Source organism: Homo sapiens, chromosome 8 (assembly GCF_000001405.40).
Source record: "Homo sapiens chromosome 8, GRCh38.p14 Primary Assembly".
Taxonomy (NCBI): Eukaryota; Metazoa; Chordata; class Mammalia; order Primates; family Hominidae; genus Homo; species Homo sapiens.
Window position 1 is genome coordinate 80,180,694 of NC_000008.11, and position 27,606 is coordinate 80,208,299.

Genomic DNA, 27,606 nt, shown 5'->3' on the forward strand with positions numbered 1-27,606 from the left:
GGAGGCAGAGGTTGCAGTGAGCCGAGATCGCGCCACTGCACTCCAGCCTGGGCGACAGAGCCTAGACTCTTTCAAAAACAAACAAACAGAAAACCTAAATGATTTTGATTTGAAAGTGGTTGCCTTCAAGGAGGAAAATGCAAAGGGTAAGAGGGTGGACTGCTGGGTTTTTCTGTTTTGTTTTTTGCTTTTTTGCAAAAATCCTTGTTTGCCTCTTTAAAATATGTACATGTTTAACTATAAAAAACTAAAAACTGGAAAGTAAAAATAAAAAGACTGATAAATTAGTGAGACAATAAGCTAAAAAAACAAATTAGGTTGCATGAATATACTAGGTAGCACAAACTTTTTTTTAGGGAGAAGTTATTTGCTATTTCCCTGAATCCTTGAAGTAGCCATGAAATCTCTGTGTTTGTTCTTTGAAGAGAGCTCTCAAGCCCCACACATTTCCAGTGAAATATAAGGACCCTTACTGACACTATTTCCAATTTTCCTTTCAGCTCTGAAAATCTATGGTGCGTAGGAAGATGGACAAAACATTCTTCGTGATGAGAAAGCAAAGCAGATTGTGATCACATTTTTGGAAAAAATAGATTTGCATATTCGATCTTATGCACAGAAAGATATCTGGCAAGACATTGACAAATGTTAATAATAGTTACTTCTTGATGATAGGCCCAGATTATTTTTATTATCCTCTTTAGTTTGTTCTTGATATTTTTTTAACACTGAGCTTATCATATTAACAGTAATCTACATTGTTTAATAGGTACGGGCTGAGCATGGTGGCTCATGCCCATAATCCCAACACTTTGGGAGGCCGAGGCGAGTAGATTGCTTGAACCCAGGAGTCCGAGACCAATCTGGGCAACATGGTGAAACCCTATGTCTACAAAAAATACAAAAAGTAGTTGGGTGTGGTGGCGCATGCCTGCAGTCCCAGGTACTTGTGGGGTTGAGGCGAGAGGATTGCTTGAGCCCCGGGAGGTCAAGGCTGCCGTGAACCATGATTGCCCCACTGCACTCCAGCCTGGGCAACAGAGTATAAGAACCTGTCTCAAAAAAAAAAAAAAAAAAAAAAAAAAAAAAAAAAAAACACACACACAAAAAAGAAAGAAAGAAAAGAAACAGGTACAGAGTTTCAGTTGGGATGATGAAAAAGTTCTGGAGTTCTGTGAATGTACTGAATGCCACTGGGCTATACACTTTAAATGATTACAGTGGTAAATTTTATCTTGTGTATATGTTACAAACACAACGAAAAAGAGTTATCCAATACTTGCCCTTTATTCGCTTCCAATTAATTATTATAAATAACAGTTAACTGTTTGAGAGGGTCAGAAAAAATGTCAAACAAGTTTAAAGAAGATGTGACCAGCCTGGGTAACATAGACCCCATCTCTATATTTTAAAAATAATTTGTATAATTTTTTTTAAGTTTGAAGAAGACACTGAATACTGTGAAATTGCCTAACAATTGATATTTTCTGAAGGCAGCTCTCTTGGTGGGATGTAACTCCTAACTTTCTCTCAAAAGTTTTTGTTGTTGTTGTTGCTGTTGTTGTTCCATAAGGAAAATGAATTTAAGAGAAGTTTGGGCCAGGCACAGTGGTGCACACCTGTGATGCCAGCTGCTTGGGAGGCTGAGGAGGGTGGATCACTTGAGCCCAGGAGATTGAGGCTGCAGTGAACCCTGATTGTACCACTGCACTCCAGCCTGGGTGACAGATGGAGACCTTGTCTTAAAAAATTAAAATAAAAATAAAAACGAGGGGCAGTTTGATTCTCAGTAGGGGCATGAGAAAGATAGAGTAATATGGTTCCCCCAGGCAAAAAAAAAATTTTTTTTAATTTTGAGATAGAGTCAAAATTTAAAAAAAGATCACGCCAGGCTGGAGTGCAGTCACCTCAAGTGATCTGTCTGCCTCAGCCTCCCAAAGTGCTAGGTTTACAGGCATGAGCCACCACGCCTGGCCAAAATGTTTTGTCCATTGTTGTAGTCAGGGTCCCTGTCACATAGCTTGTGAGATGGAGATTTGAGTGCCGGGGGTGGATTGGTGAGCACCCTGGGATCCGACCTGTTGGGAAGAGAAGCCAGAAGGATTCAATGGAGGAAGAATGGACTGTGTGTGATGCAGTCACAACAGAGGCCTCATCCCATTCCTCCAGAAGCTCTGGAGCCACAGTGTCTCTTCAGAGTTGTCCCAAATTGAAGCAAATGGCCCTGCCTTTATAGCCCCATGCTGATCCACCCTAGGAAGTGGGCTGCCCTCAGGAAATGATCTTGGGCAAGGTGGCTTTTCAAGATTGATGGCAGTTCTCACCAAGGAACTTCCCAGAGGATCATCAGCTGCCAACGTTCCCAGTCCTGAAGAGAAGATGTGGATGGCACCAGTGAGGGTCCTCGCCAATCATATATTCTAGAACATTCCTGGGCTTTTCGACCTGTATCATAAATCATCCATACGAATCAGAATAGAACTAAGGAGTGTCAACCAGGAAGTTAAAGACTAAACCTACCTTCCAGTGAAATTGGAGTTTAACAATAAGGAGAAAAAGGTTCCAGTCCCCACGTGTTAGGACATTGACCCCAGAGCCTCCTCAGAGAGCCAAAAATGTACTCCAAATGACCCTGTAATGATATACTATGGTACTGTCACCAATGTCTTTTCAAAGTAGCTCCAAAGGAAGCTTTGCTCATGGTGTAGCTTAAGCCCAGCTCTTTTTCTCCAGCCCTAAAAAAGGAAAATAAAAATACTGAAGTCCTTTCATGGGCTTATTCCTAAAGCCCAAGATGCACAATAGTATAAGTGCTTTTTCTTTATGAAAACATTAAAACAAAAATGATGCATCATTAAAGAGACTCCCTCAATTATGTTCTGTCTTGCTTCCCCTCGAGGGAAACCGCCAAAGAAGGAGGAGGTTTATAAAGTAAATGACTAGATGCAGATGTGAAATGACCTACCAGAGAGCTACTTCTGCTGATATGGGAAAGAAATACTCTCCCTCCAGTCTCTACCAATAAACCAGCGGAGGTCTCCCCATTAGTCAGGGGACTTAGGAAATCCCACTTGCTGGCCTATGGATGAACTGCCTGAAAAATATTTCCTCAGGTTCTCTACATTTTCTTTAAGGTTTTGAATTCTGCACTGGAAAAAAGTTGAATTATTTTCTCCAATTCACACTTCATTATATTCAATATTGCAATTTTAATGAAGCCAAAGATCTAAGTGAGGATACCTGCTCACATTCTGACTCTCTTCACAACCTTGGGGCGACAGAATGACATCTTGCAAATGAGGACACTGCGACACAAAGAATATAAGGAAACCTACTGAAAATCAAATACCTCTTAAATGTCAGAACTGTAACTCACCAGAGATCTCCCTTCAAGTTTAGAGCTCTTCTCACTACACCACAAAATGGCTCTGAGGGTGAATTAATGCATTGTCACAGCTTAAGTCAGGAGAAAGAAACAACCACATCTGAACACTTCCTATTTAACCCAGCAGCCTGGTCCCATCCCAAAGGACAGACCTAGAATCAAAAAATTATGGAATAGTCATGTGAATTGGGGCTAGAAACTTCTGTAAGTGAACATCTGGTTTGGTCCTTTGCCTTCAAGGAAATAACTTTATTGTTATGTCCATTTTCTTGGAATAGGAGTTGAGTCCAAAGAGGATCAGTAAGTGCCCAGGGCTTATGGTTATTGATGAAGAGACAACCAAAGTTGAATCCTCAAAATTACTTTGTGGTATAGGAAACAGCCAGACTATTTTGAACTGACTTTGGGGTATAGGAAACAGCCAGACTATTTTGAACTGACTTTGGCCATGTTTCAGGCAGCCCGGGAAGGGACATTTGCTCAGTAGGTGGAGTGGACTTCTGTGTAGACAATGAGGTTTTAAATTTTAATTTAATTTATTTATTTTGAGAGAGGGATCCACTCTGTCACCCAGGCTGGAGTGCAGTGGCGTGATCATAGCTCACTGTAGCCTTGAACTCCCAGATTTGAGTGATCCTCCTGCCTCCACCTCCCAAGTAGCTAGAACTACAGGCATGTGCCACCATATCTGGCTAATTTTTTAATTTTCTGTAGAGACAAGGCCCTGCTATGTCACCTAGGCCTTGAACTCCTGACCTCCCTCCTCAGCCTCCCAAAGTGCTGGGATTACAGGCATGAGCCACAACGCCTGGCCCAGTGGAGTTTAAGGGGCGTCAGATTACTATTAAGAAACTGAGGCTGTGCACAGTGGCTCACGCCTGTAATCCTAGCACTTTGGGAGGCCGAGGTGGGTGGATCACTTGAAGTGAGGAGTTCGAGACTAGCCTGGCCAACACGGTGAAACCCCATCTCTACTAAAAATACAAAAATTAGCTGGGCATGGTGGTGGATGCCTGTAATCCTAGCTACTCGGGAGGCTGAGGCAGGAGAATCACTTGAACCCAGGAGGCAGAGGTTGCAGTGAGCTGAGATGGCACCACTGCACTCTAGCCTGGGCGACAGAGCAAGATTCTGTCTCAAAAAAAGAAAAAGGAAAAGAAACTGAATATACAAATGGACATTGGTGGCTGGGTGCGATGGCTTACACCTATAATTCCAGCATTTTGGGAGGCTGAAGCAGGAATTCCAGACAATGGCCAGACTGTATATGACCATAGAACCCTGTCCCACAACCTGTGTCAACCAGATCAGAAAGCCAAACCATAGCCTATGCAGCAATCAACCCAGAATAGTTAGGACTTTGCCCATAACTGTCAGGTTTCCTATTTTTTGCCTATTTCCAACTCAGGACCAACCAGAGGAAGCCAAATATGCTCCTCAAACTAATCATAGGAGATGCTCACTGCTAATTGGCCTGCTCCCGGCTTCCTCATGCCAAGAACCCCTAATCAAATCATACTGGAAGCCTTTGGTGGTTTTTTTGTTTTGTTTTTTCATTATAAATCTTCCCCTTCTCCTGGCTGCCTTTGAGTCTCTGCCAAACACAAATGATGGTGGCTGACAACCTGGATAGAGCAGGCTCTGAATAAACAGCCTCTGATTGTTCTCATTTGGGCATCTTTGTTTATTTCTACATTTTTCCTGGAGGTTCACAAGACACAGGCTGCACTTCCCGCTGCTGCAGACGCCAGCCTTCAGTCAGGTGTGGCTTCAGGAAGGCCCCTTGTGTCTTGCTGCTTGTGGCCTCTGAGTCCATGATGACATGGTAAATCAGCACCAGGCTTACATTCTGCTCTTTTACATTGAGTTCTTTGGCCATTTATTCTGTTTGGTACCCAGGTAATTTACTCATCCCCATTTGTTTGGCATCCTTCATGGAATCAGTTCCATTTCTTTTTTTTTTTTTTTTTTTCTTTTTTTTCGAGATGGAGTCTTGCTCTATCACCCAGGCTGGAGTGCAGTGGCATGATCTCAGCTCACTGCAATCTCCGCCTCCTGTGTTCAAGCGATTCTCCTGCCTCAGCCTCCTGAGTTGCTGGGATTACAGGCGTGCACCACCATGACTGGCTAATTTTTGTATTTTTAGTAGAGACGGGGGTTTCACCATGTTGGCCAGGCTGGTCTTGAACTCCTGACTTCGTGATCCACCTGCCTCGGCCTCCCAAAGTGCTGGGATTACAGGCGTGAGCCACCGCACCTGGCCCCCAATCAGTTCCATTTATTTTCATCCTTTTTGCTCTTGTTTGTGCTTTCTATTTGTATTATGCTGTCTAAAAGGATTATTTGACATAAAAGGAGAATCAAAAGGTATAGCCCAGACATAGGTCCTATTAGCCAATTTTTTTTAATCATCCTCACAGACTGGGGCATTTGTGGTTCTCACCAAAATGGTAGCTATTCAGACAAATTTTGTTGTGGATTACCAATAAAACTGAATAAGTCACTTCTGTCTTTGTCATGATTTTTTCTCCCAGGAGCTTGGCTTTGATCCAGACAGAATGCTGTTTTTCTCTCTGCTTTTCTGCATACTAGGGGGCACAGATTGTGGGGTCTGCATTCAGAGGTGGCCCACTGTCAGGTTGGGGCCTGAGACACAAAGTGCAAAACCATTACTTTTAAGTAATTGTTGCCCCCTCTCCAGGGGTTGTGTAAGTCTAGGTCTTCTCCTCTTCCAGGAAAAACTTCTTACTGGAACTCTCATTATAACCCTAATTCTTATGACTTCTTTCTAAATGCATGACTTCACCAAGGTCCTTCAATGGCCACTCTGGGGAAACATTTGACTTCAGCAGTATTGTTCATTTGAGAGGAACCTTAGAAAAGAAGAGAAATAAACTTTCTCATGTCCAATGGGCAGTAATTTTTTATTGGTATGTGGAGGCCTCTGAATGAAATTTGGATTCAATAATTGGTTCACTGAAAAACTAAATGGCCAAAGCTAATGAGGAATTTGACAAACTTAAGCAATAACAATCTAGACTCATTTCCCTAGTATGCCTCCCCACTGCTTGTTCTCAGCTGCTTCCCTACATCCAGCCCTCCCTCTTCTGCCTTATCCTTCTGATCTCTTTCCTTCTGCCCCTCCATAGACTCCTCCCTCCGCTTCCCCCACATCCAGACTCCCCAACCTTTCCTAACAACTTTCCTAAGACCTGAAAATATCAGTTGACTCTAAACATCAATCCTGCCCTTGAACCAGCATGCAACTGTAAAATTTAAACCTTAGACCCTCTGAACTTTATGACCGTTCTCAGTACAACCATGTGAAACATCAACCCCAATGATACATCATCAGTGGAAACCATAACAACACTACATTGAACTGGCCCAAGGGTCTCACCCAGAAGATCACATTAGCTGCTTCTCCCCACCTTGAACCATGGCCAAATCCTATTAGCTTCATCTAGATCCACTTATGCCTGAATGATAGTTCACTTCTGTTCTTCCCAGTTACGTGAACCGGTAATTCCCTTTTTTACTTAAGCTACCTTGAGTTAAGTGTCTATCACTTGTAATCAAAAGACTACTGATGGCTGAGCATGGTGGCTCACACCTGTAATACCAACAGTTTGGGAGACTGAGGTGGGAGGATCACTTGAGCCCAGGAATTTGAGACCAGCCCGGGAAACATAGGGAGACCCCACCCCTACAAAAAATTAAAAAATTAGTGCGGTGGTACGTGCCTGTGATCCCTACTTGGGAGGCTGGTGTGGAAGGATCACTTGAGCCCAGGAGGTTGAGGCTGTAGTGAGCTGTGATTGTGCCACTGAACTCCAGCTTGAGTAACAGAGCAAGACCGTCTCAAAAAAAAAGAAAAAAAAATGCCGATGAATATAGTAGAAACTTACAAGATGTGCTAAGAAGTATGATTTAAACCTTGAAAGTCATGTGTAGTCACAGGTGAAGGGTTTTAATCACATGAGTGATATGGTCAGTCTATTTGACTTTCTCTGATTGGTCGTGAATTAGAAGTGAGGACAAAAAAACAGAAGCTGGCAGTCATTGACCCAGTCCTGACAGTTCTGTGCTGATTGCTGCAGAGGTTGTGATTTGGCTTCCTGAACAGGTTGTGGGCCAGAGTTCTTCATCATAGATGTCTAATCATTATCTATTTCTTTTTTTAATTTTTTAGACAGAGTCTCACTCTGTTGCCCAGCCTGGAGTGCAGCGGTGCATTCTTAGCTCACTGCAACCTCCACCTCCCTGGTTCAAGTGATTCTCATGCCTCAGCCTCCTGAGTAGCTGGATTACAGACACGCTCCACCATGCCTGGCTAATTTTTTATATTTGTAGTAGAGACGGGGTTTCACCATGTTGCCAGGCTGGTCTCAAACTCCTGGCCTTAAGTGATGCACCCACCTTGGCCTCCCAAACTGTTGGGATTACAGGCATGAGCCACTGTGCCCAGCCGGATCACTATCTATTTCTATATTCAGTCTCTCAGTCCCATTTTGGTCTCTCACTTTTGAGAAGTTCCCCAGCTCACAAAATGTTGGAAATCCAGGTTTTTACTTCTTGGAGATTGTCCAGTTGTCTCCATAGCTAATTGAGAGATCTTGACTTGTTGTATCATCATTGTGATCGTCCAGCAAGAAAATGACCGAATGGATACATTTAAGACTCTGACGAGAATACAGTAGATCAGCATGATGACCACTATGACAAAAACAAGAGCAATTAACATTACCTGTAAAATGCTTCAAAACCAGGAATCCCAATTGCTCAACTCAGAACAAGAGAACACGATTGTGGGTGGTAGGAGGAGTATAGTTTTTGAGTAAGAGGTAATGCCTTACGAGGTTCTTATACAATGCTTCCTGTAAAGCATTTCTCAGTCACTTGATGTAAAATTTGGTTTACCTCAGGTTAAACTCAAGTGGGCTTTTATTTTCCTTAGCAACAATAAGGGCTGTAACTCTTTAGAATAGAAATGCTTCAACCCATCCTGAAAATAGATTCAAAATACCTAAAATATATTCAAATTCCATGGAGAGAATGAAATAGATGCAGGAAGACACTCAAAGGGCCCTTGAAGCTTTGGTTCCTGGCTATGCCCCACCCTTACAATTTTTCTAAAATTATGTTGTTGACAGGTGACACATGACCTGCAAATAACTTCAGCCATCTTTTAAAATTTTCCCCATCAATGTTGATTTGAGATAGTAACCAATTTTTCTGTACCATAAGGAGTAGTTTCATGGAGAAATGTAGCTAATGTTCATTTGAAATCATCTGAGGCCACCAGCCTGGTTGGAAGGATTAGAGATTATGTGTGTGAAGGGTGTAACCAGATTTTTTTCTATTCTTCCTCTTTAAAACAAGAAACTAAAAATTGATATTTTGTAATGGCCTCTTTGAGATTTATCTTTTGAGGGTTTACTTGGAATCATAACCTTGATTAAGGCTTCTTATTAGGAAATGCTGCTGGAGCATTTCTTTAGCTTACAAAGTCTCTCTTTCTACATGGGCCTCAACCTTTATAGTAGCTCCCTTTCCACATAGTAGGGCTGCACCTAAAGTTCCTTAATTTGTTCTTCATTTTTGATGGGGATTCCATCCGAGATCTTTTGTTTGCAAAGCATGCTCAAACCTAGTTGGTCAATTAGGTACTTCTGGTACCTAATTGACCAGCTCTACCAAGTGCGAAAGCTGTCTGCTGAGTTTTATTTTATTTATTATTATTATTTTTAAATTGACAAGCAAAACTTAAATATATTTATGATGTACAACGTGAAGTTTTGGTATATGTAAGATATTTAACATATGCATTATTTCACACACTTATTTCTTTAGTGAGAACACTTCATTGTCTGGATGAAATTGCTGTATGTTCTCAGTCAGTAGTAATGTCTGTATTGCAGGAGGAAACATGAGGTCAAATAGGGAGCCTAGAACTAGTTCAGGAGAAGTATTGACAAGTTTTGCAGTGACAGCTATTGCCCTATAATAAGTGCGATAAACTTCTGTGACCAGGTCAAGGATGAGGCTGCAGTAAGCAATGGGTTTTGAAGGTTCCCATGGAGTTAAAATCCCAAGGGTATGTCTAGATTGCTCATGCCACGGTTACATTTGCACATTCCTTAGCTCTCAAATGTTATTGAAAAATATTTTTTACATTATCCCAAATACACATATTCTCCACGTTTGAGTTATGGTCCAGTTAGTTTTTTTAATTTTTATTTTATTTTAATTTTTTTTTTTTGGAGATGAGGTCTCCCTCTGTGACCCAGGCTGGAGTGCAGAGGCATGATCTAGGCTCACTTCAGCCTCTGCCTCCCGGGCTCAAGCAAACCTTCAACCTTAGCCTCCTGAGTAGCTGGGACTACAGGCATGCACCACCATACCTGACTAATTTTTGTATTTTTTGTAGTGACGAGGTCTCACTATATTGCCCAGGCTGGTCTCAAACTCCTGGGCTCAAGCAATCCACCTACATCAGCCTCCCTCTCGAAGTGCTGGGATTACAGGTGTGAGCCACTGCACCAGGCCATCCAATCAATTCTTATGGGAAGTATTTCAGGTATGGCTATTAGGAGACTTCACCCAACTTTTGGGGCTATTTTCTGACCTTCCGGTTTATTGTGAAAGAAGAATCCTCAGTACCTTGCTGGATAAGTTCAATTGGCTTTTTCTGTCCAGGATTTAGCATCTGAGTTTCTGATCAACATTTGTATAATTTGATATAGCTCAGGTAACCCTGGGGTCATATGTGCCCAGGTCAACATCAACTCAGAGACTAACAAGGTGAGAAGAGCCCAATGAGCTTAGTTGCTCAAATGGAAAGAGTTCAATCAAGAATGGTTATTCAGTCTGGGCACGGTGGCTCATGCCTGTAATCCCAGCACTTCTGGGAGGCCAAGGCAGGCAGATCGCTTGAGGCCAGGAGTTCAAGACCAGCCTGGCCAACATGGCAAAACTCCATCTGTACTAAAAATACAAAAATTAGCCGTGCATGGTGGTGCATGCCCTGTAATCTCAGCTATTCAGGAGGCTGAGGTGGGAAGATCACTTGAGTCCAGGTGGTAGAGGTTGCAGTGAGCCAAGATCGTGCCACTGCACTCCAGCCTGGGTGACAGAGCAAGACTGTCTCAAAAAAAAAAAAAAAGAATGGTTCATTCGCGAATTCAGCCAGGGCCAGGTACAGTGGCACTGCCTATAATCTGAGCACTTTGGGAGGCCGAGGCAGGAGGATCACTTGAGGCTAGAAGTTTGAGACCAGTCTGGGCAACAGAGCAAAACCTCGTCCCTACAAATAATTTAAAAATGAGCTGGACATAGTGGTGTGTACCTGTGATCCCAGCTACTCAGGAGGCTGAGGTGGGAAGATCACTTGAGTTCAGGTGGTGGAGGCTGCAGTGAGCCATGATTGCACCACTGCACTCCAGCATGGGCAACAGAGCGAGACCCCATTTCAAAAATTAAAAAAAAAAAAGATTCAGGTGCCTTGAACTCTGGTTTCCTCTCCTGTAATGCCACCATCTTACATGAAGGCCCTCTTTGCATCACCTGGTAGGAATTGAGATTCAGGCTACTGAAAAAAGTCAATACTAGGGCTACTGCTTTTTCTATGAGTAATAAAGTCCTTTGATTTTGGAATGTTGTGACAATATCCGTAAAATAGGCAGTCTAATTTGTTAGCTTGCAAGTAGAATAAAATCTCACACCCTTCACAGCTCTTAGGCATCATATTATTACAATTCTAGATTTCCTTTTCCTGCATTCAATTATGATTCTTAGGCAGAATGTCGGTAGTAAGAAAGGTACTATTTATCCATTGAATTGGAGGAACAAGTAGGGCATCCCAGTGGAGGTGACCAATAGAAAGTTGGATATTGCCATTTCTGGCATATGAGTGGCACTAAAGACAAGGATTTGTGAGAGATAACCCAGAAAAAACACGTAACATATATGATATGCTGCAGTCATCTCACATCTGCTTAACATCAGTGAACTGCATGCATATCTTTCCAATGCTATGTTCAGTGACTTCATCTTGGTATCTTGAGATTGGCCACAGTGAGAGTATTTACACCATGGAAATTAACAAATGCTACAAATCAAGGCTTCCTCCACCCCCATGAGAGCTAATAGTCATCAACATGCTACAAGAGGATGGTGTAGCTGATACATGATGGCAGCAACTTCCATCATCTATTTTCTTCTTCTGTGAAATGTGAAGAATAATTGTGTCTATGACATGGGATTTTTTAGAGGATTAAATGAGAGACTTTGTAAAACATGTACAATAGTAGTCTTGGTACATATTGTATCTAATCAAATCTGAGATGCTACCAAATTGAAAATTTGGCATTCTTTTAGGTCATACTGCCAAGAAAGAAGAAGCAGTTAATTAAATCATGTGTTCTTGCCACATTGATTTTAAGACACATATCAATTTCAGAGATGGTAAAATGTGAAAAAAAACTCGGTCTGAAATGAATAAAGTAAGTAGCATACTTTTAACACGCTTCACTAATGGTATATTATCACTTTGAGTAGCTAAAATGTGTGTATGTGTAGTAAAAAAATCATTTGTTTCAGGTTCTACAATTTTAAATCACCAATATAATCAAAATTTCTATCCATAAAAATGCTCAGAAATCAGATGGTTTGCATTAATGAATGCTCAGCATACAAATAGGTGCGAAAGAAAAAATTGGAAATATGACTTTTTTTTCAAAATAAAACCAGACACAAAATTCAGTGAGTTGTGAATTTCAAATAGTTAAAAACAACAACAACGACAACAACGAAGATTTAAACATACAAGAAGCATTGGTGGGGCACAAAAATAACACCTGTAATCATAAACAAGTGAACGCAAAATTAGTTCTCTAAACAATTTATCCACACCTTAGAAAAACGTGAACTTACATGAGAAGCAAAGTACTAAATGTGCTTATTTAACTAATTATATATATGTTCTAGAAAAAAAGATAGGGGACTGGTAAATAATGACAAAGGAAGGGAATTGGCTACAGTGTAATTAGCTCAAGGCTGTGGGCATACATTTATATTGTATAAAGAAAAATTCCTGGAAACAAATGAATCCAAGCTACCAAACTTGGAGAGAGAAGAGAAACTACTATGTTTGCACAAAATAACTTCAAAGGGAAACAGGGCTTATTTTCTTTTACACCATTGCAACTAAAAAATAATAGAAGAGCCTACTATAATTAAGTGAAGACTTTACAGCTATTACAGAGAACACAGAGTTTTAAGCAGGCTATAAAACACTATGACTTTTCTGTGAAGAGGGAGGTATGGGAAAAAATGAAAAACAAAACCAAGCCCATAATGACTTTCAGAAAAACTTAACTCTCAACCCCTTGGAAGCAATCTCTAGTTCCCTCTGGGGAAGAAGCCTTCTCAGCATAAGAAGATACAGCTTTGACTCCAGGGCTCAGCCCACTGCAAGTGGGTTCGTTTGCCTAAATGCATACTTGCCAACTGACCACAGCTGAGGCACTCTGCTGGAAATAGTTTGCAAATCAGTTTCCATACCATAAGGAGTAACCACTCCCCAAGACCAGTGTAATGGATGTGGTATAAAATTTTGAAGCAGAGTATGTGTTTCTGGCATGTCATTTGGATGTGAGCCTTGGGCAAAGCAGTCTGTGAACCTCAGGATTTTTTTTTGCTTGTTTGTTTGTTTGTTTCTTCAGACAGGGTTTTGCTCTGTCACCCACATTAGAGTGCAGTGGCATGAACACGGTTCACAGCAGTCTTGACCTCCTGGGCTCAAAAGTGATCCTACCGCCTAATTCTCCTGAGTAGCTGGGACCAGGAGTACGTGCCACCATGGCTGGCTAATTTTTTTATTTTTTAAGGAGATGGGGTCTCATCATGTTGTCCTGGCTGGTCTCGAATTCCTGGGTTTGTGTGAGCCTCCCATCTCAGCCTCCCAAAGTGCTGGGATTATAGGCGTGAGCCACAGTGCTGGGCCAAACTTCAGAGTTCTTATCAACAGTAAACAATAGTGAGACTTGCCTGTCAGGAGTCATAAGACTCCTGAAAAGATCAAGATATATGTTTTAAAAATTATTTTAAAACTGTAAAAATGCTTTATAATAAGAAATGAATTATTATTACTACTACCGCTACTACTCTTATTTGCCCTGCAAATAGCGTATCAATCACCATAGCACTGTGTGATGAACTTGGGACACGATTCTGCACAAAATGATAGTAAAGGGACATTAAGAATGCTTTGGGAGGCTGAGGCAGGAGGATTGCTTGAGCCCCAGCAGTTTGAGATCAGCCTGGGCAACATAGTGAGACCCTGTCTCTGCAAAGAAAATAACTTTTTTTTTTAAAATTAGCTGGTGCAGTGGCATGGGCCCATGGCCCCAGCTGCTTGGGAGACTGAGGTGGGAAGGTTGCTTGAGACCAGGAGTTTGAGGGTGCAGTGAGCTACGATCAAGCCACCACACTCCAGACTGAGCAACAGAGCAAGACCCTGACTCTGTAAAAAACATTTTTTTAAAGATATATTAATATGTCTTAAAAAAAAGAAACAGGTGTTTCAAGATAGAAGTTATGCTTCATTTTCTATTATAAAGTCTAAAGGAATTCCAGAAAAATCATGAGCTTTTAATTCAGGCAGACAGGAATTTGAATGTGGACTTTACATTTTATTAGCTGTGTGATGGTGGGCAGGTTACTTAAGCTCTCTGAGTTTAGGGAATCCTACCTCATAGGCTTGTTGCAGACATTCCATTGTGTAAAGTGTGTAGCTCAATGAATTCCAGGTCCTCCCTCTGCTCTTAGATACATTACCTTTTTTCCTTACATTTTTGTGTGGAGCTTTGGAAGAGCTCTGTGGGGTTATGGGTGATGTTTTATGTAACCCTGTCCCTCTTTTATTTTTTTTTCTTTTTTGAGATGGAGTTTCACTCTTTGTTGCCCGGGGCTGGAGTGCAGTGGTGCAATCTCGGCTCACTGCAACCTCCGCCTCCTGGGTTGAAACGATTCTCCTGTCCTGTCTCAGCCTCCCGAGTAACTGGGATTACAGGCTCCTACCACCACTCCTGGCTAATTTTTGTATTTTTAGTAGAGATAGGGTTTCACCATGTTGGCCAGGCTGGTCTCAAACTCCTGACCTCAGGTGATCCACCTGCCTTGGCCTCCCAAAGAGCTGGGATTACAGGCGTGAGCCATCACGCCTGCCCTCATTTTGTTTTCGACACAGCTCAGCATAAAGCAGTCAAGAGAAACAGTTGCTTTTCTGCTATTTGAGACTACAACATATAAATTAGAGATGAGACCGAAAATCTGCAGTTATGTTTTATGTCACTAGAGCCAAAAGCTTCATTAACTGATAATGGCATTTATTCCACACTTTCTGTGTGTTAGGCACTGTGTTTTGTTTTGTTGTTGTTTTTCATGAGACAGGGACTATATTACCAACAGTGGTCTTGAACACCTGGGCTCAAGCAATCCTCCTGCCCCAGCCTGCTGAATAGCTGGGATTACAGGCACGCACCAGCTCAGTATGAAGTCTTTTTTTTTTTTTTTTTTTTTTTTTTGAGACAGAGTCTTGCTCTGTCATCCAGGCTGGGGTACAGTGGCCCAATCTCAGTTCACTGCAACCTCCACCTCCCAGGTTCAAGCGATTCTCCTGCCTCAGCCTCCCAAGTTGCTAGGATTACAGGCATGTGCCACCACACCCAGCTATTTTTTGTATTTTTAGTAGAGACAGGGTTTCACCATGTTTGCCAGGCTGGTCTCGAACTCCTGACCTCAGGTGATCCACTCGCCTTGGCCTCCCAGAGTGCTAGGATAACAGCATGAGCCACTACGCCCAACCCAGTAGGAAGTCTTAAATGGCTGTTTTCATTTAATCTGTACATAACCCTGCAAGGAAGTATTAATGACCTGTATTCATTCCCCATTGCTGCTGTAACAAATCACCACACAGTTAGTGACTGAAAGCACCGCAAATGTATTCTGTTGAAGGTCTGGAGATCAGAAGTCTAAAATGGATCTGCAGGGTATGGCATGGCCTTCCTGGAGGCTGTAGGAGAGACTGTTTCCTTGCCTGATCTAGCTTCTAGAGAATACTCACCTCCCTTGGCTTGTGGGCCCTGCATCACTCTGACCTGAGCTTCCGTCATTGCATTTCCTGTCAGTCTCCTGCCTCCCTGTTTGCTGTATTATAAGAACACCTGTGGCCGGGCGCGGTGGCTCACGCCTGTAATCCCAGCACTTTGGGAGGCCAAGGCGGGTGGATCACGAGGTCAGGAGATCGAGACCATCCCGGCCAACATGGTGAAACCCCGTCTCTACTAAAAATACAAAAAATTAGCCGGGCGTGGTGGTGGGGGCCTGTAGTCCCAGCTACTCAGGAGGCTGAGGCAGGAGAATGGCGTGAACCCGAGAGGCGGAGGTTGCAGTGAGCCGAGATCGCACCACTGCACTCCAGCCTGGGTGACAGAGCGAGACTCCATCTCAAAAAAAAAAAAAAAAAAAAAAAAAGAACCGTTGTGATTACACTAAACCCTCTCAGATAATCCAGGATAAGCTCCCATCTTAAAATCCTTAATTCTTAATCATGTCTGCAAAGTCCTTAATTAAAACTGCAAAATATCTTGCCATGCAAAGTAACATATGTACAGGCTTTGGGAATCCTGTATGTTAAATAGGCACGTGTGCTAGACAGAATGATGACCTGCCTCCACTTCCCAAAGATGTCCATGGCTTTGGGAAGGGGGTGCAGGTCATCATTCTGCCTAGCACACGTGCCTATTTAACATATGAGGGAATTCAGGCTTGCACATGGTGCATGAACACTCAAGTTGCACGCTTTGTAAATTAGAACCTAAGTTCTGGGTCTTGAGCCCAGATGGCAGCCTCCATCCTTTACTACATGAGCCTTGGGCCCAGAAGCACACACTGCCAATTTGCATGAACAGATGTGTTTTGTTTTGGGCATGGTTATTACACTGATGGTGGTGACCACATTTGATAAACGTGCATCAGACATAGATTTATTTTGTACATTGTCTCAAGCTCCAGCAGCCATACTTATTACCTATTCTCAGACTGATCACCTTCAAGACAAATTTAGTACCTACTTGGCATTACACCAGCTGTTACAGATAATTAAACAAAGACCCAATTCTTTATCCCTGAGGGAATTTCTAAGACAAACCAGTATGAAAATGCAAAACTACATGTGTTGGAATAAAGACCAGAGGGGACTGCTGCCCCAACTGAGAAGGACAGTTAACACATTTATTAATTTGAAACTGTTTTATGTGTCTTTTGCCAAGGGGTTAATAACTTACTTCGGTTACTATATCTTATTTATTATTATTACTTCAGTGAAAATACTGATGGAGATTGATTTCTTGCTTTAAATATTTAAAGCGTGGAGTTTAAGCCCACTTACAGGAATGTAAGAAACAATGACAAACTCTGCTCAAGCAAATACCTCTAATTTTTCTCACTAGAAATTGGTGAAAACATTTCACCAGCACTGGAGTAGAGAGGGACATGTGAACAAAGTTCAAACCGCACTTGCAGTTGAAAGTGGATGAAATACATGCAGACATGGATGAAAATATGCCCTTTGGCCTGGAACTCTAAAATCACGTGTCACTGGGCATGGTGGCTCACACCTGTAATCTCAGCACTTTGGGAGGCCGAGGTGGGTAGATCACTTGAGGCCAGGAGGTCGAGATCAGCCTGGCCAACATGAGGAAATCCCGTTTCTACTAAAAATACAAAAATTAGCCGGGTGTGGTGATGGGCGCCTGTAATCCCAGCTACTTGGGAGGTTGAGGCAGGAGAATCGCTTGAACCTGGGAGGTGGAGGTTGCGGTGAGCTGAGATTGTGCCAACACACTCCAGCCTGGGTGACAGAGCGAGACTCCCACTCAAAAAAAAAAAAAAAAAAAAAAAAGCACATGTCACCATGTCACTCGGGGAAACAACAAACAACAGAACCTTATGTCAGGGAGAAAAAGTAAGCCCTTAGAAACCCTGCAGGTCCCTGTCAATGTCAGTGGGCTGCCCTGTTTTTGCTGATAGTGCCATGTTAGGAAGATTCAGCCCTGGAAAAATACCATATCTCAGAGAAGGAAGCAGTCAGGGAAGGCCATGTGTAAAAAAGAGAAAGTACTCCATCTGTTGTGCAGTTCAAATACTGAGGCCATTATTTGTTCATCTGGTTGATTCGAAGCTTCAGTCTCTCTCTGTGGCTTTCCTTCTTGAGCTCCTTCATGTTTATGGCTTGAAAAATAATTAATGTCCTGCTTTTAACTCCAACATGATGTTCCTGTTTATATACATCCCACACTTCAATTCTATACTCATAATTCAATTAAGGAATTTATGTCTGGTACAATTTTTGCTTAGCTCTTCATATATTTCAATAGATGTAATATATAATCTACAGAAAAATAGAGAAGTGATGTAACAAACAGCTTTACTTTGGATGATTACCTTGCGTATCTTGCCAGATCTTAAATGTCCATCTTTCAATCCTTTCTCTATATGACTGGGATAAAGTGTTCCAAGAGTATTAGCTAATGGCCCACTGGCTTCACTTAATTTCCTTTGAGAAGATTTATCTTTATTTGTGTCTGTACCAGCAACTGCGTAGTGCCCACACTGGTTTGTGCAGCACTCTTCTCTTACGCACCATCGACACGATGAGTAATGAACAAAATGTTATTTTTCCTACATGCTTCACTGCTGAAAATAAAATGTCTGTTAGACATTTCCTGAAGATTTCTTTTACTGTCAGAAATGATTAAGTGATGGAAATTTGCTAATCAATACAAATCATATAGGAGAAACTTTATAAAATATTTTTGCTATTCTGTTTGTGGACATTTGGTCAGGAATGAGAGCTTTAAAATCTAAATATTGATCTAGTCCACTGAGCTGATTAAACAATGCATTGGCCATTCAGGAGGAATCCACTGAGAGCTGATGTGGGGTGCGGGGGATTTGCCTCCTCCATAACAGAGGAAAAATCTTCAGTGTGACACTTTTTTTTTTTTTTTTTTTTTGAGACGGAGTCTCGCTCTGTCACCCAGGCTGGAGTGCAGTGGCGCGATCTCCGCTCACTGCAAGCTCCGCCTCCCGGGTTCACGGCATTCTCCCGCCTCAGCCTCCCGAGTAGCTGGGACTACAGGCGCCCGCCACCGCTCCCGGCTAATTTTTTGTATTTTTAGTAGAGAAGGGGTTTCACCGTGCTAGCCAGGATGGTCTCGATCTCCTGACCTCGTGATCCACCCACCTCGGCCTCCCAAAGTGCTGGGATTACAGGCGTGAGCCACTGCGCCCGGCATTTTTTTTTTTTTTTTTTAAATCAGGTCTCACTCTGTCGCCCAGGCTGAAGTGCAGTGGCATGATCCCGGCTAACTGCAACCTCCGCCTCTGAGCTCAAGCAATTCTCCTACCTCAGCCTTCTGAGTAGCTGGGACTACATGCATGCACCACCACACCCAGCTAATTTTTGTATTTTGTAGAGACAGGGTTTTGCCATGTTGCCCAGGCTTGTCTGGAACTCCTGAGCTCAAGCAGTCCTCTCGCTTCAGCTGCCAAAAGTACTAGGATTACAGGCATGAGCCACTACGCTCGTCCTAATGTCTTTATTTTCCTTATTAATGTCCTTCCATGTAAATGAATATATTTTATATAGCTTCACAGGCAATATAACCTATATAGTTTTGTCGTCTATAAAACAAGGAAAATAATACTACCTACTTAGAAAGTTGTTGTAGGTATGAATTTTAAAATTTCTTTTCTTTTTGAGGCAGTCTCACCCCGTCGCCCAGGCTAGAGTGCAGTGGTGTGATCTTAGTTCACTGCAACCTCCGCCTCCTGGGTTCAAACGATTCTCACACCTCAGCCTCCCAAGTAGCTGGGATTACAGGCATGTGCCACCACACCTGGCTAGTTTTTTTGTATTTTTAACTGAGACAGGGTTTCACCATGTTGGCCAGGCTTGAATTTTAAATTTTCAAGCAAAGAATACAGCTTGTTGCCTGGCATACAGTAAGAACTCAATAAATGTTACAATTTTTATCAGCTACTGCCATAACTTTTATTTTGGCGAGGTATGTATTATATTAAGTAAAGTGTTAAATGACAGCAGTATCAAAACACTCTCTCTTTTTTTTTTTTTTTTTTTTTTTGAGACGGAGTCTCGCTCTGTCGCCCAGGCCGGACTGCAGACTGCAGTGGCGCAATCTCGGCTCACAGCAACCTCCGCCTCCCAGGTTCAAGCGATTCTCCTGCCTCAGCCTCCCAAGTAGCTGGCACTACAGGTGCGTGCCACCATGCCCAGCTAATTTTTGTATTTTTAGTAGAGACAGGATTTCACCATGTTGGCCAGGATGGTCTGGATCTCTTGACCTGGTGATCCGCCGGCCTCAGCCTCTCAAAGTGCTGGGATGACAGGCGTGAGCCACCACGCCCAGCCACTTTTTTTTCTTTTAAGTCTTGCTCTGTTGCCTAAGCTGGAGTGCTGTGGGACGATCCTAGCTCACTATAACCTAGAACTCCTGGGCTCAAGGGATCCTCCCACCTCAGCCTGCTGAGTAGCTAGGACTACAGATGCATGCCACCATGCCCAGCTAATTTTTTAAAAAATTTTTCATAGAGCAGGAGTTTTGCTATGTTATCTAGGCTGGTTTCAAACTCCTGGCCTTAAGCAATCCTTCTGTCTTGGCCTCCCAAAGTTCTGGGATTACAGGCATGAGCCACCACACCCTGCATCAAAACACTCTTTGAACTCGTGCCTTTTTACTATACCACTTATATTTTTATAATTGAAAAAAAAAAAACAGAACTAAAATACTTAACAAGCCTGATGGAAGTGTTAGAGTAAAAATTAAATTAAAAAGATCCTCAAATGATGATACAATTTTCCATTAATTTGTCTGGGTAGTCAGTCATGAACTGTTGATTGAATGTCCGCTAAGTGCAAGCTAGAACCAGTGGAATTGGAGCAGGCAAAGTGTGTAAACTGAACACAGCAAGAAGCAGTGGGGCTCCAGCATCCTCATGATATAGTCTAGTTTACTTTGGTGGGATTAAGAAATCCTGCTTAAATGATAAATCTTCTCACTAATCAGTAATATACCTTTCAACCCTAGCCATAGAGTTATTTTCCACAGGTTTTAACAAGGAACAAAGATGTCTCTGATGTGCTTTTCATGACTACAGTTTCTATGCCTCAAGGCTTACTACAGTCGAGGAAAATCTTTCCTTCCTTTCATTCTCTCAAGGCTTCAAGCCTTCAAGCCTTTGAAATGAATCAATACTGAATTCATTGACTTAGGCATTCCAACAAAACAAAGAAACTTAACAGACTAGGAAAAGCATTAAAAACATTTGGAATACTTCCACCCTCCCCGCCCCCGCCTCCACTTTTTTCCTATTGGAATTGCAAGAGTATTTTCACTGTAGAATTGCCATTACGGCCGGGCGCGGTGGCTCAAGCCTGTAATCCCACCACTTTGGGAGGCCGAGGCGGGTGGATCGCGAGGTCAGGAGATCGAGACCATCCTGGCTAACACGGTGAAACCCTGTCTTTACTAAAAATACAAAAAACTTAGTCGGGCGTGGCAGCGTGCTCCTGTAGTCCCAGCTACTCGGGTGGCTGAGCCAGGAGAATGGCGTGAGCCCGGAAGGCGGAGCTTGGAGTGAGCTGAGATCCCGCCACTGCACTCCAGCCTGGGCGGCAGAGCGAGACTCCGTCTCAAAAAAAAAAAAAAAAAAAAAAAAAAAAAGAATTGCCATTGCTTTGCTTGCAAACAAATGAAAAGCCATTGCTATGGTTTGACGAATGATTCCTAAATCAGGCAGCCTTTTGAGCATCAGTAGGCTCAGAGACTCCAGTGCAGCCACGTGGTGGAAGAACATGTATGGACAGAAAAAGGAAAAAAAAGAAAGAACAGGGAAGGGAAGGGAAGGGAAAGGGGAGGGGAGGGGAGGGGAGAAGTGGAGGGGAGGGGAAGGGGGAGGGGGACCATTGCTACGGTTTGAATGGGTGCCCTCCAAAATTTAGGTGTTGCCAATGTGATAGTATTAAGAAGTGGGACCTCTAAGAGGTGATTAGGCCGTAAGAGCTGCTCCATCTTTAATGGATTTAAGGTCGTTTAAAAAGAGGCTTCATGCAGCATTTCGCTAGCTTGCCTTTCTGCTTTCTGTGTGAGGATATAGCAAGAAGGCCCTCACCAGACCAAATGCCTTGATTTTGGACTTTCCAGCCTCTAGCACTGTAAGAATAAATGACTGTTCTTTATAAATTACCCTGTTATAGCAGCACAAAATAGGCTGTGACAACTGTCAATCATCCCCTTCCTAAATTCATTTTATAAATAACAAGTTAGCATTTCACCAATAGATACTAGTTTTTTAAAAAGAAGGTGATAAAATGGTCATAAAATGACCATACTGGAGCTTCACTGCTTCTTGCTGTGTTTGGATTGCACGCTTTGCCTGCTCTAATTCCACTGGTTCTATCTTGCACTTAGTGGACATTCAATAAATAGTTCATGACTGCCTAGATGGACAAATTAATGGGAGACTATAAAATTCATTTAAAGATATTTCAACATAATTTTATATATCCTGCTTTCACTCTAAGTTATGAATAGTTTTCATGCAACACATATACTCAAGTATATTACAAGTTAAATAATATCTGAGTAATTAAAAATATTTAATGAGCTTTCCTGAATATGCAAAACAAACACTTTCACTTTTGCTGTGAGCTTTTAAGCTGAAAAGTTTATAGCATTTCAGAAAGAAAAATCAGGATAAAATAAGCATATATCTATGGTATTATGTACTTAATAGCATCTGGTTGCTAAATATTTTCTTTTGGCTTCTTGATCAATAAACAGCAGGAAGCTCTGGCTGTCCATTAGAATGCTTTCAGTAGCAAGACAGAAAGCCCAACTCAAACTATTTAATTATAACAGAACTGGAAAGTTTAAAGGTAGAGCAGCCTTCAGAATGATTTGATTCAGTAGCTCTGTGATAGCAAAGAACCTAGTTAGGGAGACAATCAAAATGTCTCACTTTTTCCTCTGGTCATACTGTTATAATACACACAACCATATAATGATACATCCTGTCTAGAACTAAGCCTACCAATAGATGGTATGATTTCCAACAAACCCTTAGACCCTCTTAGCCTCAAAAATCTCTATTCTATCAACTGTTCTCCAGAATAATATTACCTTCACAATACCTTGTTCAAAGAAATTCTTCATGGTAATGGGAACAAATAATTTGGTATCCGAGTATTACTGCTACTTCCACTGCATAGTTATAAGACATAGGGCAAACCATTGACTTCAATAATTTTCAGCTTCCCAAACTGTAAAATGAAGCTTACAAATAATGTGCTCCTTGATTGTATAAACAATCTCTAACAAAATCCTACAACAAACATTTTACTGAATTAGAACACCTTAGGAGTGGTCCTTGTATGTCAGGAGCAAGCACATTTGTTTACCTGTTTTCTGTAATTGCTTTTGCACTACAATGGCAGAGTAGAGAAGCTGCAACAGAGTCTATATAACTCTCAAAGCCCAAACCATTTACTGTCTGGCAACCTTACAGAAAAAGTTAGCCAACCCCTGCCCTGCAAAAGGAAGGCTTTCATACCAGAGTTGCAGCTTCACAAGAAGCCTTGTTTTTTTTGAATCATTGCCCACCACATATCTTGGGAAACAGGGAAAGCAACTTTGGAGTATTCATATTTTTACCCAGAGGGTGTCTGCATCCCAATAGAAACAGATGGCCATTTTAACTCAGATCATTTGAGGAGGGTTTATTTACAAAGGTTTGAATTCAGGAGAATCATGGAGATTACTACCTGAAGTAGGGTTTGGGGTGCAGTTACCAGGAACAGGGAGAAGAGAACATTGTAGAGTTAGAGTTCCTGAGAAAAATGGGGTCTTCCAGTCGAGGGACACAGCCAATTCAAAGACACCTGGTGGGGAAGGAGGCAAGGTGATAAATACCCCGACTTTCGTCTCCTCTTTCTTCTTTTTTTCTTACTGAGGCTCTGCACTGGCTGAACCCAATCAGAATGACAGTGGACTTGGCAATGATCATTATGGTCCATACCATTCAGGCTCCTGGGCAGAGAGCAACACAAAGAAGGCTGGAACTGGATATGGTGGGGCAAATAGAAGCTATTTGGCATAGAGAGCAATCTTGGAGGTATCACTGAGCAAAATGAAGAAATGTAACGGTAAAACCGATTGTCACTCAGGCTCCTCCTAAAAGGTTCCTAGATGGAATGACACACTGGTAGTAGTGAACACACCTACCATCCAGATCTTGGTTTCTAAATACCATTGTCACATAAAAAGAACCAGTACTCCTTGGAAAAATGGCTTTCTCTATGGCTGTGACAGGGAAAATACAAGATGACCTGGGCGTATCTTGTTTTGCCAGAAAGTAAGGAAGAGCTCAAAGACTGAAGGGTGCCAGGTATGGTGGTGTGTGCCCATGGTTCCAACTACTCAGGAGACTAAGGCAGGAGGATGACTGAGTCCAGGAGTTCTGAGTTGTAGTGCACTATGCCAATCAGGTGACTGTGCTAAGTTTAACATCAATATGGTGACCTCTTGGAGCAGAGGACCACCAGGTTACATAAGGAGGGGTGAACTGGCTCAGACTAGAAATAGACCAGATCAAAATTTCCTTGCTGATTAGTAGTGGGATGGTATCTGTGAATAACCACTGCATTCCAGCCTGGGCAACATGGCAAGACCCTGTGTCTAAAAGGAAAACAAAAAGATTTAAGGGTACATGTCAAAAGGACATAGGAGTCAGTTTGAAGAAATTCCCACTGGCCAAATCCGGGGCAATTTTGGACAATATTTAACTATTTGTAGTAATAGTTACAGATTGAGGCTGGGTGCAGTGGCTTCCGCCTGTAATCCCAGCACTTTGGGAGGCTGAGGCAGGTGGATCACAAGGTCAGGAGTTCGAGACCAGCCTGGCCAACATAGTGAAACCCCGTCTCTACTAAAAATACAAAAAATTAGCTGGGGGTGATGGCATGTGCCTGTAATCCCAGCTACTTGGGAGGCTGAGGCAGGAGAATTGCTTGAACCCAGGAGGTGGAGGTTGCAGTGAGCCAAGATTGTGCCATTGCACTACAGCCTGGGCAACAGTGCGAGACACCATCTCAAAAAAAAAAAAAAAAAGTGTTACAGATTAAACCTCAGAGTAAAGTAAATGTATGTGAACACATAGTGATATAAATTTTAAAATGAATGAATAAATGGGGAGAATGTTCTACCTTATAGTAAAAGTATTAAGGCATATTACTACAAAGTACTAATTAACTATTAATCAGTGAACACAATGTAATCATTAATTAATTTTATAGTGAAGAAACTTGGTGAACACATTAACCAAGTGATAAATATTATCATCAGGGCTGGACATGGTGGTTTATGCCTGTAATCCTAGCACTTTTGGAGGCTTATGCCTGTAATCCTAGCACTTTTGGAGGCCAAGACAGGCAGATCGCTTGAGACCAGGAGTTTGAGGCCAGTCTGGGCAACATGGAGAAACCTCATCCCTGCAAAAAATACAAAAATTATCCAGGTGTGGTGGTGTGCACCTGTAGTCCCAGCTACTTGGGAGGCTGACATGGGAGGGTCACCTGAGCCTGGGGAGGTTGAGGCTGCAGTGAGACATGATTGTACCACTGTACTCCAGCCCGGGCAACAGAGTAAGACCCTGTCTCAAAAAAAAAAAAAAAGTTATCATCAATAATGAAGTACAAGTCCTGTGCCTCCGATGTAATGTAATGAGAAAACCACATCATTACTTCTATGGTATTCCTTGCAATAAAAAAGCATACATCCTGAAGAAACATCAGACTTACCCAAACCAGGGGATAATTAAATGGTTAGTAGCCTGTACTCTAAAAATGACAAGGTTTTTTTTTGTTTGTTTCTGTTTTTTGTTTTTTTGAGACGGCGTCTTGCTCTGTCACCCAGGCTAGAGTGCATTGGCGCTATCTCAGCTTACTGCAACCTCCGTCTCCTGGTTCAAGCGATTCTCCTGCCTCAGCCTCCCAAGTAGCACCACCATACCTGGCTAATTTTCGTATTTTTAGTAGAGATGGTGTTTTACCATGTTGGCCAGGGTGCTCTCCAACTCATGACCTCAGGTGATACGTCCACCTCGGCCTCCCAAAGTGCTGGGATTACAAGCATGAGCCACCGTGCCTGGCATAAAAATGACAGGTTAATAAGAAACAAAGAAAGTCTGAGAAACAGAACCTGACTGAAGGAAACTAAATGGATATCATAACAGTCCCTGGGACTGCTCAGGGACTGTAATGGCCCAGATTTGACACTGGTCAGGAAGCAGGTGGCATTGAACCTTCTCAGAGGCTCTGAAGGGAGGGGGAACAGTAGAAGTTTTGCACCTAGGTTCTTCTTGGCACCACTTCTAAACCAGAGCAGCCTGGGCAACATAGTAAGACCTCCATCTCTACAAAATAAAAATAAAAAAACTCTGTATTTTTTTGTAGAGATGGGGGTTTCGTCATGTTGCTTAAGCTGGTCTCAAAACTCCTGGACTCAAGTGATCCTCCTGCCTCAGCCACCATGCCTGGCCATACATTCATCTTATTAATAATATACTCTGTGTCTCTTACATGGGTATATATTAATAAATTCTAAGAAGTATATTTCTTGGTCAAAAGGTATGAGTATTCTAAATTTTATTAGACATGGGAAACTTGCCTTCCAACATATCTCATTTTTTAATTCTTAAAGTTGAATTGGCAAATATTGACTCTAGCCATCCTAATCTGTTATCCTTTTAGGCTCCTATGGGTCCATTTTAGATATTTTTGGTTGTGTTGATTTTATTTCTTTTTGCTCCATTATATTGCTTCATTTCCCCTTTGTTTTTCCTTTATCCCTCTTTGATGACTCATCTTCATGCTATTCGGCCAGAATCTGGGTCTGGAGGAGTGTGAACCATGGAGGGTTTACATTATAAACAAGACATCGCCTCTCAGCTGCTCATGCACCTGCTCCCTTGGCCTCCTGTGAAAACAGATGTCCCAGAGCAGTTACAAGGCTCTTTCAGGAGAATTTCCTCCAAGAAGATTTTGCAACTCAAATGTGAAGCCTCTTCAGGACCATAAGTTCCATGGTAAGGACAGCATACTTCATCTGCTTGAAAACTATTGGTTATTGACATGTTATACTATCTAGTATTTATATTAAAATTTTGCTTTTCAGAAAATCCAAGGACTCCAGTTGGATTTTAGGCAAAAATGTCAATATCAGGCCACAAGACAGAGGGTGGAGATAGCATGGAGGAGGGTCTGTTCAGGGACTGTAATGGCCCGGATTTGACACTGGTCAGGAAGCAGGTGGCGTTGAACCTTCTCAGAGGCTCTGAAAGGAGGGGGAGCAGTAGAAGTTAAGCACCCAAGTTCTTCTTGGCACCACTTCTAAACCAGTTATTTCTACCCCTTTTGTGAATGATTCTCCTCCTTGACTTGCAGAATCACCGGATTCTCTTAGATGTTAGTACTTCCAGCTCTCTTTTCTTACCTTGGAGGCCTGGAAGAAGCTGGCTGCAGTGAAGGTCATCCCTTAAAGGATATTTGATGGGCCCATTGTTCTCATGCTGGGTGGTTCTTTCCATCTGACAGACTCTCCATCTAACTATTGAGAATGGTGTAGAAGGGCAGGTTTCTGGGAGGAGAGGCCCCCTCTCATTTTCTAACCATTAGCCATGGTTCCACCCTGGAAAGTTCTTGAGATATAGGGACATGGCTAAGACTGATCTGCAAAAATGTTTTACTCATCTCTTTTTTTAAAAAAAATATTACCTCCAAGGTAAGTAGAGTTTCCGAAAAAAAATTTTAAAACAAGTTTTAGAATCTATGCTTTGCTGAAAATGTCCTTGTTTTTTTTATATTTGTCTCCCCACAAAGAATTTACTGGGTTCATTAAGCACAGCTTTCTAACTGATGTGCCCAAATGGGTTGCCCTAATCTCAATATTGAATCCCTCAGCCCTCGGATAATCAAATGGAGCTGGGACCAGCCTGAGCTCCCAAGATGGCTATCTCTGGCTATGAGCAGAATCTAAATTTGCTATTTAATATGTGCCAAGATGTTTAAAAGTTTGTGA

At 42.2% G+C, this 27,606-nt stretch overlaps 1 long non-coding RNA gene and 1 pseudogene across 3 annotated transcripts in view; one reads left to right on the forward strand and one right to left on the reverse strand.

Annotated features, from left to right (window-relative positions):
• Positions 1-27,606, reverse strand: part of LOC105375920 (uncharacterized) — a 54,525-nt gene that overhangs the window by 3,040 nt on the left and 23,879 nt on the right. For 2 of the 3 annotated variants that reach the window (XR_929095.3, XR_929092.3), the window contains exon 3: positions 2,325-2,445. This is a non-coding gene — a long non-coding RNA (uncharacterized LOC105375920). Of the gene's footprint in view, positions 1-1,268; positions 2,079-2,324; positions 2,446-27,606 lie in introns of those variants that run through there. The other variant, XR_929093.3, reaches the window with a different exon arrangement.
• Positions 23,913-24,209, forward strand: RN7SL41P (RNA, 7SL, cytoplasmic 41, pseudogene; annotated as a pseudogene).